Source organism: Homo sapiens, chromosome 18 (genome assembly GCF_000001405.40).
Source record: "Homo sapiens chromosome 18, GRCh38.p14 Primary Assembly".
Classification (NCBI taxonomy): domain Eukaryota; kingdom Metazoa; phylum Chordata; class Mammalia; order Primates; family Hominidae; genus Homo; species Homo sapiens.
In genome coordinates, this window is record NC_000018.10 from 12368333 (window position 1) to 12382469 (window position 14137).

General features: G+C 46.2%; 1 protein-coding gene across 2 annotated transcripts in view, besides 4 other annotated features; it reads right to left on the reverse strand.

Annotated features, from left to right (window-relative positions):
* The window catches only part of AFG3L2 (AFG3 like matrix AAA peptidase subunit 2), a 48284-nt gene extending 39389 nt beyond the window's left edge, over positions 1-8895 (reverse strand). For both annotated transcript variants that reach the window (XM_011525601.4, NM_006796.3), the window contains exons 1-3: positions 8637-8895; positions 3260-3359; positions 2517-2594 (exon numbers count right to left, since the gene is read on the reverse strand). In XM_011525601.4, the coding sequence (XP_011523903.1) occupies positions 2517-2594; positions 3260-3359; positions 8637-8750 (292 nt within the window). In that variant the 5' untranslated portion in view covers positions 8751-8895. The remainder of the gene's footprint in view (positions 1-2516; positions 2595-3259; positions 3360-8636) is intronic.
* Positions 8460-9359: a silencer, noted in NCBI's record as "silent region_9311". NCBI's record gives its function as "represses an Ori minimal core promoter by ATAC-STARR-seq in GM12878 lymphoblastoid cells {active_cell/tissue: GM12878}" and the evidence as "EXISTENCE:reporter gene assay evidence [ECO:0000049][PMID:35858748]".
* Positions 8460-9663: a biological region, named in NCBI's record as "H3K27ac hESC enhancer GRCh37_chr18:12377463-12377994".
* Positions 9132-9663: an enhancer, noted in NCBI's record as "H3K27ac hESC enhancer chr18:12377463-12377994 (GRCh37/hg19 assembly coordinates)". NCBI's record gives its function as "activates a minimal SCP1, AML or CMV promoter by ChIP-STARR-seq in primed H9 embryonic stem cells {active_cell/tissue: H9 hESC(primed)}" and the evidence as "EXISTENCE:reporter gene assay evidence [ECO:0000049][PMID:30033119]".
* Positions 9664-10193: an enhancer, noted in NCBI's record as "H3K27ac hESC enhancer chr18:12377995-12378524 (GRCh37/hg19 assembly coordinates)". NCBI's record gives its function as "activates a minimal SCP1, AML or CMV promoter by ChIP-STARR-seq in primed H9 embryonic stem cells {active_cell/tissue: H9 hESC(primed)}" and the evidence as "EXISTENCE:reporter gene assay evidence [ECO:0000049][PMID:30033119]".

Consider the following 14137-nt stretch of genomic DNA (forward strand, 5'->3'; position numbering starts at 1 on the left):
TGGGCAACAGGAAGACCTTATCTCAAAAACAACAGCAACAACAAAACAAAACAAAAGTAAGTACTCCCTTTCCCACTCCCACAAAGTATACATTGTTAACACTTTCTTGTGCAGGAAAGCCCATGGTTTTGACAAATGGCTAAAAAAACACACCCACAGTTGGTATTCAGCTGGCATCTTTGCTTTGTAGGGAAATGTATGTAAGGAAAACTGTAAATCAGTCCTTGTTGTTGTTTTAGACGGAGTTTCACTCTGTCTCCCAGAGTGGAGTACAATGGCGTGATCTCAGCTCACTGCAACCTCTGCCTCCCAGGCTGGAGTACAATGGCGTGATCTCAGCTCACTGCAACCTCTGCCTTCCAGGTTCAAGCGATTCTCATGCCTCAGCCTCCCAAGTAGTTGGGATTACAGGAGCACGCCACCATGCCCGGCTAATTTTTGTATTTTTAGTAGAGATAGGGTTTCATCATGTTGGCCAGGCTGGTCTTCAACTCCTGACCTCAGCTGATGCACCCGTTTCGGCCTCCCAAAGTGCTGGGATTACAGGCGTTGAGCCACCGCACCCGGACCGAATACACTTCTAATGTCTTCAGTGACCATGAAGCAACCCCTCTAGTGTAGCAGGATGGGAGGCTACAGGCACCCGGTCATCCTCAGTGGCTATGTAACATGTGGCTTCATGACACATTCACTCCGCTATGCTGCATACGAGGGGCTTCTGCACCTCTGTCTCGAGTGGAGTCTGAGACAGGTATGATATGCACAAGCCTCAGCCCCCAGAATGAGGCCCAGGACTAAAAAACACGCAGTAAGCACACCACTAAAGCTGTGCAACACTCCAAACCACTCAGGGAGAAAGGAATGTCCACACAAAAGCAACCCAAAAGCTTGCATGGGTTATCATTACTCGGCCCCCACACCAAGACTCAAAGACCACCTAGCATGCACTGGGAGAACTGTAGGTACTGCTCCAATCTAGAGCCCCGGGGCTGTCACCAGCCCACACCAGTGCTTCTCCCTCCCCATGTCCCCTGGCTCTTACTCCTTTGCATTCTTTGGGCATATATTTGTCTGTCCAACTAGATGACAAGTACATTTAAAAACGTGGACTCCTCGAGGCCAGGTGCAGTGGTCACGCCTGTAATCCTAGCACTTTGGGAGGCAGAGGCGGGTGGATCACATGAGGTCAGGAGTTCAAGACCAGCTTGGCCAACATGGTGAAACCTCATCTCTTAAAAATTAGCTAGGCATGGTGGCGCATGCCTATAATCCCAGCTACTGTGGAGGCTGAGGCAGGAGAATCACCTGAACCCAAGAGGCAGAGGTTGCAGTGAGATCGTGCCACTGCACTCCAGCCTGGGCGACAGAGACCCCTCCTCAAAAAAAAAAAAAAAGAAACTGAATTACAGTTTTCTTTACATTTCCCTAAAAAAGCAAGGATGGGCCGGGCATGGTGGCTCACGCCTGTAATCCCAGCACTTTGGGAGGCCGAGGCAGGCGGATCACAAGGTCAGGAGATGGAGACCATCCTGGCTAACACAGCGAAACCCCGTCTCTACTAAAAATACAAAAAAAAAAAAATTAGCCAGGCGTGCGCCTTTAGTCCCAGCTACTCAGGAGGCTGAGGCAGGAGAATGGTGCGAACCCAAGAGGCGGAGCTTGCAGTGAGCCAAGATCATGCCACTGCACTCCAGCCTGGACGACAGAGCTAGACTCTGTCTCAAAAAAAAAAAAAAAAAAAAAAAAGCAAGGAAGTCAGTCAAAATGGGCACAGGAGGCCCACTCAGTCCCCCAGCCACCGTGCTCTAAAAAAGTCTCTCCGAATCCCTAAGGTGAGGTAATGCTCTGAGGAGCAATTTTTAAAACACTGCCCTAAACACAATATGTATCAAATAAATTGCATGTATTAGATTTCTACGATTTTTCTCAATGTTTTAAATTATGTGCCAGATATCTACCAAATATGCTTAGTTTGACCAGACAATACCTCTAAGGTAGCCTTAAATTACTTCAATTTGCAAAATGACAGAAAAATATCAACAGAAAATTAAGGTGAAATGTAACATAAGGTCTCTAGAATTTTATATGTACTTGCAACCTACAGCTTCACAACTGACTTACTATAACTTTCTTTTTTTTTTTTTTTTCTTTTTTTTTTGAGACAGGGTCTCTCTGTTGCCCAGGCTGGAGTGCAGTGGCACAATCACAGCTCCCTGCTGGGCTCAGGTGATTCTCCCACCTCAGCCTCCCAGGTAGCTGGGACTACAGGTGTGCACCACCATGTCTAACTAATTTTTTGTATTTTTAGTAGGGACAGAGTTTCACCACATTGCCCAGGCTGGTCTCAACCTCCTGGGCTCAAGTGATCCACCCGCCTAGGCCTCCCAAAAGGCTGGGATTACAGGCGTGAGACACTGTGCCCGGCCTGATAACTCTTTTCTTTGTTCAGTGGAAACTACCACCATTATACATGAGGGGAAAACACAAAATTCAAATATAATATTGTCAAAAGGTACCTTTTTTCTCTCCCATAACTTCTTTAGGTTCACTAGCTTTTTTTCCATTTTTTCCATTAGGAAAGTATTTTTCAAATCCTGTTAGAAAAAGAAAAAAAATACTTATCTTCAAACTAAAATTCATCAGGTTTGTGTTCATTTTGTTTTCAAAGCAGCTGATGCATCACTGAAAAGCACAAGCTGGCCAGGCGCAATGGCTCATGCCTGTAATCCCAGCACTTTGGGAGGCTGAGGTGGGCAGATCACCTGAGGTCAGGAGTTCGAGACCAGCCTGCCCAACATGGCGAAACTCCGACTCTACTAAAAGTACAAAAAATTGGCTGGGTGTGGTGGCAGGTGCCTGTAATCCCAGCTACTCGGGAGGCTGAGGCAGGAGAATCGCTTGAACCCAGAAGGCGGAGGTTGCAGTACGCCAAGATCGCACTAGTGCACTCCAACCTGGGCGACAAGAGCCAAACTCAGTCTCCAAAAAAAAAAAAAAAAGCACAAGCTAAAAGCATAACATTTCTTGTGTACAAGTACATCAAAGTCTAAATAATATAGTTCACAACCCAGAAGTGTTAAAGGAAAAAGCCTCCTTTTTGCATATCAATTTCATTATCTACAAATGTGTTACATTTGAAGATGACATATCTTCATCGCTGTAATCAGACATAAGTTGGAGGCAGGGGAATGGGTTACAGAAGGAGACAAAAGACCCAACCTAAGAATGTAGAACACTACAGCCACACCTAAGCATTTACCTTTTGGGGGTCGAGAACAGAATCTTTGATAAGCAGCAATTATATCTGTCAAAAGAGAATTTCTGCTGGCCCTTGCTTGAGTTGTAACAAATCGGTAAAGCTGCAACAAGACATAAAAATAAAACCATAGTTATATCAAGATAAAAAACTTAAAAGAGCTTCATTTCCTGGTCATAAAGTAGATGAAAGGTCTCTCTCTTCCACAGGTGGTTATGAAGTAACACAGAATGACTCCCTTAGTGAGGACTAGGATTACCTAGCACTAGGCCACTGATTCCAGCAAAAGAACCAGGAGACACACATTATTATCCAGAAAACAAGAATATTTCAAAATCAGACATAATGTAGAATTGCAATCCAATTATAATTATGTGACAACACATTCACTTTGATGATGTTTGTTTAATTTGTAGCATTCAAAAGACAAACCCTGGCCAGGCGCAGTGGCTCACACCTGTAATCCCAGTACATTGGGAGGCCGAGGTGGGTGCATCACGAGGTCAGGAGTTCAAGACCAGCCTGGCCAAGATGGTGAAACCCCGTCTCTACTAAAAATACAAAAATTAGCCAGGCACAGTGGCAGGTGCCTGTAATCCTAGCTACTCGGGAGGCTGAGGCAGGAGTACTGCTTGAACCCAGGCAGCAGAAGTTGCAGTGAGCCGAGATCACGCCACTGCACTCCAGCCTGGGCGATGGAGTGAGACTCCGTCTCAAAAAAATAAAAATAAAATAATAGTTATAAAAATTACAAAACCAAATAAAACCACCTCACATCCACTATAATCAAAAAGACAGACAAGTATGGGTGAGGATGTGAGAAACTGGAGCCCTGTACACTGTGCTGGTGAGAATGTAAAATGGTGTAGCCACTCTGGAAAACAGTTTGACAGAGCTCCAAAATGGTACCACATGACTCTATGGGTCACCATATGACCCAGCAATGCCATCCCTACCCAAGGAAGCTGAAAACACATGTCCACGAAAAATATGCACACAAATGTTCACAGAAGCCTTATTCATAACAGTCAAAAAGTAGGAACAAGCCAAACGTTCACCACCTGATGATGAACAGATAAATAAAATGTGGTATACCCATACAAGAGAATACCAGTCACTCAAACAAAGGAATGAAGTACTGACACGTGGATGAACTCTGAAAACATCATATTAAGTGAAAGAAGGCAGACACAAAAGGTCACATATTATGATTCCATTTATACGAAATGTCTAGAATAGGCAAATCCATAGAGAGATAGACACATTAGTAGTTGCCTAGAGTTGGGGGAATGATTACAGAGAAATGCGAAATGATTACTAATGGTCGCAGGGCTTCTTTCTGGAGTGCTGAAAATGTTCTGGAATTGGAGACAGTGATGATGGTTGCATAACTTTATGAATATGTTAAAAACCAATGAACTGTACATTTAAGATGAACAATGGTTTGTAAATTAAAATGTCAATAAAAAACAAATAAAACAGAATGAGATGATTTAACTTCAAATAAATACAGAATTCCACACAGCAAAACAGGACAGGAACACCAACACTGTTTTTGTCTGAGTGCAATACTGGCCTGGGAGACTTTGGAGCTTATGTTGTGTTACACCCTGCCCAACCACAGGAACACTTGGCCTATGAAATAACCACTGATAACAGATAAGAATGCAACATAAGAGTTTTTTTCCAGTGCCAAATCCATTAAGGGTGTAGATTAAAATGAAATGTTATTCAAGCTAGACAAGTCAACAACTCCAGGCCAGGTGCTGTCAAGCAGTGGGGTGTCCGAAGGGGAATCAGAACCAGTTCCCACCCCTAAGAAGCACAGAAACATAGGGAAGAAAATCATGGGACAAATCAGTTACACTATGGCATAACAATGTAACCAAACAAAAGCTCTGAGTACAGGGAACAGGAGTGGTGCAGAGGTAATATGAAGGGGTCTTTATATTGCCACGTCTTAGTCTTAGTCCTTTCTGTTCCGCTATAACAGAGTGCCTGAAGCTGGGTAATTTACAAAGAAAGGTTTATTTAGCTCACAGTTCTGCAAGAGGGGAAGTATGAGAAACAGGGTGCTGGGCTTATGGTGAGGGTCACATGCTAGGTCAAATTATGGCAGGAGAAGGTGCTACATCAAAACACGGTGGGAGAAGGTCAATGGCAAAGCAGCCACATACCATGAGGGAGGAACTTCTACTTTATAACAACCTAAGGTCTCTGAAATTAAGCCAGTCCCAATACAGCTCACAGAACTCACTACCTCTAGAATGGCACCAAGACACTCATGAGAGCTCCACCCCCATGGCCCAAACACCTCCCACTGGGCCCCACCTCTCAATACCACCACGATGGGGAACAAATTTCAACATGAGTTTTGGTGAGGCCAAACTCAAACCATAGTACCATATAAAGCAAGTCTTTATATCACCATAAAGTTTAGTACAGAACAGGGCACTGTATGCGCTCCATAAATATTGACAGAAAAGCCCTTTTTAGGCTCTATTTTCAAATTGTGTTGACATGGAATATCCCTAGCAATAATCCGTGACTGAATTTAACACTGAGGTTGTGTTCTATGAAGAAATCATCAATGAAACTTCTTCTCCTCTGCATATGTAATCCAAGATCTGCATGTCTAGCATTCAAAGAATAATGTAAGAGATACTAATTCACAAAATTTAAGTTGAGAGCACCGCATTTTGGAGAATTAGCCTTTATGTTTGACAACAGGAGCACTTTTCAGTTGCTTTATCATCAGTCTTATTCCTCTGGGCATCACACCTGAGAACTCATCTCTCAACACATCAGAATCTCTTCCTCACCGTGAAAGCAGTACTTCTGTCTCTGATCTTTAAGGGTAGCAGGAACATAAAGGAAAACCTGTCCTATCAGACTCCCTCACAGCACAGTAATGCCCAGGTGTCACTAGGCAAATCTTCAGAGAGTACCAAAGAGTATGTATCAGGACCGCGAACCCCCACACCCTCCGCAAATCAATCAGCTACAGCTGTCAGCACAGAGGACTTCCTTATACATCAGCATCTGAGTGATACAGGGACAATAGTGTCACTCAAAAGGAAAGCCTTTGGGTAACACTTCTGACATAAAACTGCAAACTCACAATGCAGATCCCCACCTGGAACTGTATGTCTGAATCCAATATTCATGAGCAGCAAAAGAAAAGCAGTCAGGCCGGGCAAGGTGGCTCACGTCTGTAATACTAGCACTTTGGGAGGCCAAATGGATTGCTTGAGGCCAGGAGTTTGAGACCAGCCTGGCCAACAAGGTGAAACACCATCTCTACTAAAAATACAAAATTTAGCCAGGCGTAGTGGCGGGCGCCTGTAATCCCAGCTACTCGGGAGGCTGAGGCAGGAGAATTGCTTGAACCCTGGAGGCGAAGGTTGCAGTGACCCAAAATCACACCACTGCACTCCAGTCTGGGCGACAGAGCGAGACCCTGTCTCAAAAAAAAAAAAAAAAGAAAAGAAAAGAAAAGGGATCAGAGCTTGGTAAAACAGGGAAATGGATACAGGAAACCGAAAAAGGACCTACCACACGGCAGCGTGGCGTGACCATGGCGAAGAAATTGATTTAAGACTGGCAAGGGAGCCTCAAGGAGTAAAAATCATGAATGCAGGCACTATTATTCCCCCTCCCCACCCCCGCTCTTTTTTTTTTTAGGAGACAGAGTCCGTCACCCACGCTGGAGTACAGCAATGCAATCAAAACTCACTGGAGCCTCAACCTCCCGCGCCAAGCAACCCGCCTTGGCCCCCCGAGTTGCTGGGACTATAGTCATAAGTCACTGAGCCCAGGTAAGAAAAAAAAAAAAAAAACAATTTGTAGAGGCCAGGAGCTGTGGCTCAGGTCTGTAATTCCAACACTTTGAGAGGAGGAGGCGGGAGGATCGCCTGGGTCCTGGAGTTCCAGGCCAGCCTGGGCAACTGGGCAAGATGGTGAACCCTATCTTTTGGGACGGAGTCTCGCTCTGTCGCCCAGGCTAGAGTGCAGTGGCCCGCTCTTGGCTCACTGCCAGCTCCACCGCCCAGGTTCACGCCATTCCCCTGCCTCAGTCTCCCGAGCAGCTGGGACTACAGGCGCCCGCCACCACGCCCGGCTAATTTTTTGTATTTTTAGTAGAGATGGGGTTTCACCGTGTTAGCCAGGATGATCTCGATTTTCTGACCTCGTGATCCACCCGCCTGCTGGGATTACAGCCGTGAGCTACCGCGCCTGGCCTCTCCAGAAACTTTTTAAAAATCAACCACGGTGCTGTAGTCCCAGATACTCCGGAGGCTGAGGCGGGAGGATCGCTTGAGTTTGGGGCTGCAGTGAGCTGTGTTTGCGCCGCTGCACTCCGGCCTGGGCGAAGAAGCAAAACCCCGTCTCTTAAAAAATAAAAATAAAAATAAAAATCGTAGATCGGAGGGTCTGCTACCCTACCCAAGCTGGTTTCCAACTCCTGGAGTCAAGCGATTCTCCCGCCTCGGCCTCCCTAAGTGCTGGGATCGCAGGCGTGAGCCCCGGCACTAGCCTATCTCCCCTTACAGTGAAGACGTTGAGCTGACTACAAGGGCGCTGGGATAGCAGGAGGCCAAGCCAGGTTCCCGTGGCCGACCCGGGGACCTCAACCACCACCCGTACACCAGTGCAAGGCTGAGGAACCGTGTCACTTAAACAGTGAGAGCGACTATTCGACACGTGAACCTTTCATTGAGACTGATCACGGCCATGGTTCTGTCAACACTCTATCATTATGTCAGAAACACGTATCAGGTCCCGTGTGTGTATCTAGAGGGATGGCTACCAACAGAGAAAGAGCCTCCTGCTGAGAGCAGGCCCTGATATGCAACGAACACAGAGTCCCTGCTATGAAAAGGTGACATTCTTAATAATAATAGCTAATACTGCCAGTCCTGGAATGCCCGCAATGGCCCCATTCAACAGACGGGAACACGGAGACTCGGAGAGGTTAGGCAGCCCGACTCCAAAACCCGTCCTTGCGACTACATCGTGCTCGTGCTGCTGACTCAAAATTACAGACGCCTTCGTTCCGTGCTCCGGGGACACGAAAGCGGGGACAAGGACGGCCACCAAGCCAACATGACCTTCGAGGCTTCAACCGCCCCGGTGAAGCGCGAAAACCCGGCTCTACTGAAGCTGCGCGTTTTCAAAACTTGAATCCCACAGGCAGGGCTGAGCGCGAATCGGCGCTCCCGGGGCCGGCTGAGAGACAGCGCAGGGCGCCCAGGCCCTCGGCAGGGACGGCCCGCGTGCGGCCGGAGGGCGGGGGCCAGTGACCTTGACGTCCGCTCTCCCGAGCCGGAAGTGGGCCCGAGGCAGGGTGGAGGGCGCCGGGCGCCCAGGTAGGACTCACCGTCCGGAGGCAGGGCTGCTCGCCCGGGCCCACGCCGCCAGGCACGAGGAGCTGCTGTAGGCCGCGGGGCCAGCAGCCGCCCCGGCCCCACAGCCGCAAACAGCGGTGCGCCATGGCCGCCGCCGTGGCCCTCTCGGCCCGGGACGCTGCGCAGGCGCGGGCAGGCGACGACTGGCGGCCTCGGGAAGCGGGCTCGGCTCGGGGAAAGGCCGCCAGGCAGCGAAGCGCGCCGGCGGCTCACGGAGGAGCCCAAGCTCTCAACGCGGCGTCTCCTGCCGCCAGCCCCGCCCCGGCGCGCTGACGTCGGCGTCTCCTCTCCGAGGCCCGCCGCGACCTCCGCCAGTGCAGAAGACAGGACCAAATGGGAGGAGCATGGGGGCGGGACCGGAGGCGGGGGCCGACGGAGCAGCGTTGGGGGCGCGGCAGGAGGCGGGGCCGAGAAGGACCCTGGAGGGCAAGGGGGAGCTAGAGGCGGGGACCGGGCCGAGGGAGGACTCGGGAGGGCGAGCGAGAGCTGGGGGCGGGGCTGATGGCGCACGTGGGGGGCGTGGCTGGAGGTGGGGCCGAGGAAGGACTAGGAGAGCGAGCAGGAGCTGGAGGCGGGGCCGACGGAGGGGTGTGGGGGGCGTGGCTGGAGGCGGGGACTAAGGGGAGACGCGTGACTGGGATCCTGGGCTTCCGAGCCTGGGCAGCCGGGTGGGCCAGCCAGTAGGAGCGAGGGGGAAGTAGCGAAGGCCCCAGCGGCGGCAGATGGAAGGACCCTCCGAGCGCCAGCTGAGTCATGGGGTGGTGCTAGGCTCTGGAGACACCGAAGCACACATTCCTGACCCCTGGGAGGGCGATGCGAAGATTCACAAGCAGCAGGGAATGTTGGGGCTGTGCCGTGCAGCCTGCGCTCTAGGAACCCTGTCGGGGAACTGGTTCTCGGAGAGCAAGTCGAGTCTTCCAGGTAGTGGAAACTACACATTGTTTCCTGTACCGTGACAGCGGAGGAAAAAGGAGAGGTCTTTGAACTGAGGTGGGGGACTTGGGGGTTTTTCTGAGACGGGCTCTCGCTCTGTCGCCCAGGCTGGCGACGCTGGACCTCAGGCAAAGGACAGTAATCCTTGAGAGACAGGAGACAAAACCAGGTGAGTCCTGTGATTACCCCAGTGGCAGTAAAACAATAACAAAAAGATATACCAGATACACCATCATACCATGCTCACACAAAAGAAAACTGAGTAGACAAATAGATTTTAGGGCAAGGAAATTCCAAAGAAAATTAATTGCAGGGAAAAGAATATCACTAAGGATGAAGAGGATCGGGTTTCTTTTCCAGAGACAGGGTCTCAGTCTGTCACTTAGGCTGGAATGCCATGGTGCAATCGTAGCTCACTGCAGCCTCTAACTCCTGGGCTCAAGGGATCCTCCTGCCTCAGCCTCCCAAGTAGCTGGGACCACACACGCTCGACCACACTCGACTTTTTTTATTTTGTGTAGAGTTGAAGTCTCACTTTGTTGCCCAGGCTAGTCTCAAACTCCTGGCTTTAAGCAATCCTCCTGACTCAGCCTCCCAAAGTGCTGGGATTACAGATGTGAGCCACCCACATCTGGCCAAGAGAATTATTATTATTATTATTATTATTATTATTATTATTATAAAGGGGTCAGTTCATCAGTAGGACATAACAACCCTAAACATCTTTGTTCCCATTAACAGAAGCTTAAAATACATGGAGCAAAGACTGACAGAACCACAACTTCCAATTATATTTGGAGATTTCAAATCCTTCTTTTGATAATTGACAGAACAATTAGACAGGAAAATAGTAAGTATATAGAAGACTTAAACACAACCAACTAAATCAAATAGACATTTATAGAAAACTACTCATAACAACAGAATACACATTATTTTCAAGTTTTCACAGAGCACTTATCAAAATAAACCATATTGTAGGCCATAAAAATATTAAGAGGAGTCAAGTCATATAAAACATATTTTCTATCCACAATGAAATTAAATTAGAAATCAGTATCAGAAATAGGCTGAGGTGAGAGGATCACTTGAGCCCAAGAGTTCCAGACAAGCCTGGGCAAAACAAAGACCTCGGCTTCAAAAAAGAAAAAACTAGACAGAAAATGAAGTAAAACCAAAGAACAGAAAGAAGATAAAAGTAAAAATCAATAAAATTAAAAACTAAAAGACATAGAGAAATGAATGAAATCAAAGTGTGTTCTTTGAGAAGATCAATAGTCAGAGCAATCAGGAAAAAAGAAAATGACACAAATTGGCCCAGCACGGTGGCTCATGCCTGTAATCCCAACACTTTGGGAGGCCAAGGCAGGCAGATCACCTGAGGTCAGGAGTTTGAGACCAGCAAGCAGGCCAAAAAAAGAAAGAAAAAGAAACAAGGAAGGAAAGAGAGTGAGAGAAAGAAAGGAGAGAGAGAGAGAGAAAGAAAGAGAAAGAAAGTAAGAGAGAGAGAGGCCGGGCAAGGTGGCTCACGCCTGTAATCCCAGCACTTTGGGAGGCTGAGGTGGGCGGATCACGAGTTCAGGAGTTCAATACCAGCCTGGCCAATATGGTGAAACCCCGTCTCTACTAAAAATACAAAAATTAGCTGGGTGTGGTGGCGTGCGCCTGTAGTCCCAGGTACTCAGGAGGCTGAGGCAGAAGCAGAAGAATCGCTTGAACCCAGGAGGCGGAGGTTGCAGTGAGCCAAGATTGTGTCACTGCACTCCAGCCTGGGTGACAGAGCGAGATTCCATCTCAAAAAAAAAAAAAAAAAGGAACAAAGAAACCCCATCTCTACTAAAAAAAAAAAAAATACAAAAATTAGCCGGGCATGGTGGCAAGCACCTGTAGTCCCAGCTATTCGGGAGGCTGAGATAGGAGAATAACTTGAACCTGGGAGTCAGAGATTGCAGTGAGCCAAGATCGCGCCACTGCACTCTAGCCTGGAATGCGAGACTCCATCTCAAAAAAAAAAAAAAAAGACACAAATTACCAATACCAAGAATGAGAAAGTTGACATGACTTCACATTCTACATATATTAAAATGAAAATAGAATATACGCCAATGAATTTGAACAATGAACTATACAAATTCCTTGTGAAATACAAGTTACCAAAGCTCACTTTTAAGACAACACAAAAAGTCCTACATCTATTAAATAAATTGAATTTGTAGTTAAAAACGTTTCCATGGGTTGGGCGTGGTGGCTCACGCCTGTAATCCCAGTGCTTTGGGAGGCCAAGGCAGGCTGATCACCAGAGGTCAGGAGTTCAAGACCAGCCTGACCAACATGGAGAAAACCCGTCTCTACTAAAAATACAAAATTAGCCAGCCGTGGTGGCACACGTCTGTAATCCCAGCTACTTGGGAGGCTGAGGCAGGAGAATCGTTTGAACCCAGGAGGCAGAGGTTGCGGTGAGTGGAGTTAGCACCATTGCACTCAGCCTGGGCAACAAGAGCAAAACTCCATCTCAAAAAAACAAAAACAAAACAAAACCTTTCCATGAAGGAGACCCCAGGCCTGGATGGCTTAACTAAGAAATTCTACCAAACATTTAAGGAAGAAATAATACCAATTCTAAAGAAGTTCTTCCAGAAAATTAACATGGGGAAGTACTTCTCAATTCTTTCTATGAGGCCATTACCCTAATATTAAAACCAGACAAAGACATTACTGAAAAACAAACTACAAAACAAAACACTATAAGCCTATATCTTCCATGAATATAGTTGCAACAATTCTCAACAAAATATTAGCAAATCAAATCAAACAATGTATAAAAAGAGCTATATACCACAACCAGTGGGATTTATCCCAGATATGAAAGGCTTGTTCCACATCAGAAAATCAATGAATGTAATCCATCAAATCAATAGGCTAAAGAAGAAAAATCGCATGATCAATAGATGCAACAAAAAAAAGCATTTAACAAACTCCAACACCCATGCATGATTAAAACTCTCTGTAAACTAACGAATAGAGGGGAACTTACTCAACTGGATAAATAATTTTTACCAAAAAACCCACAGGTAAGATGGTACTTAGGGATAAGAAAGTAGAAGCACGCCTGTAATCCCAGCACTTCAGGGGGCCAAGCTGGCAGATCACCTGAGGTCGGGAGTTCAAGACCAGCCTGACCAACATGGAGAAACCCCATCTCTACTAAAAATACAAAATTAGCCGGGCATGGTGGCGCATGCCTATAATCCCAGCTACTTGGGAGGCTGAGGCAGCAGAATCACTTGAACCCGGGAGCCGGAGGTTGCAGTGAGCCGAGATTGCACCATTGCACTCCAGCCTAAGCAATAAGAGTGAAACTCCATCTCTAAAAAAAAAAAAAAAAAAAAAAAAAAAAAAAAATTATATATACATATATATATATGTATATATACACACACACACATTCATATATGTACTTTTTTTTAGAGACAGGGTCTCCCTCTGTTACCCAGGCTATAGTACAGCAGCACAATCACAGCTCACTGCAGCCTTAAACTCCTGGGCTCAAGCAGTCCTCCTCCCTGAGCCTCCCAAGTAGCTAAGACTATAGGTCCTTGCCACCACACTCATCTAATTTTTAAATTTTTTGTAGAGTCAGGGTCTCACTATGTTGCCTAGGCTGGTCTCAAACTCCTGGTCTCAAGCAGCCTACTGCTTCAGCCTTCCAAAGGACTGGAATTACAGGTATGAACCACAGCACCCAGCCTATATATAAAGATATATTGTATACAATATAGAGAGATGTAAATATATTTATATATTTCTTTTTATGTATTTATTGAAAATATAGGTTTATATATAATTTTATATGTAAATAAATATAAATATAGTTTACATATATTATGTTTATATGGATATATAAAATAATTTTATATAAGCATATACATTTTTATATATTTTACATATATAGTCTATAAATATAAACATAAATTGTACATATATGTTTATAAGTATAAACATATTTTTGTACATATTCTGTATATTTATATATTTAACATATATTCATGTTTATAAATATATATCATATATATGCATCACATTACTTCTGTTCTCCAGAAAACCATGACTAATACAAAGACATACAAAAAACAAGTAGCAAATGTTAGAAGTCCTTCCTTCTTATCTTCAATTACTTTAGGGCTGGGCGCAATGGCTCATGCCTGTAATCCCAGCACTTTGGGAGGCTGAGGCAGGTGGATCACTTGGGTCCAGGAGTTAAAGACCAGGCTGGGCAACATGGCAAAACCCTATCTTTACAAAAAATACAAAAATAAGGCAGGCATGGTGGCACATGCCTATAGTCCCAGCTACTTGGGAGACTAAGGCAGAAGGATCATTTGAGCCCAGGATGAGGAGGTTGCAGTGAACTGAGATCACACCACTGCACTCCAGCCTGGGCAACAGAGTGAAACCCTGTCTCAAAAAAATAAATAAATAAGTAATTACTTTAAGTGTAAGTGGATTAAACTCTCCATTCAAAAGGTAGAGACTGGCCAAA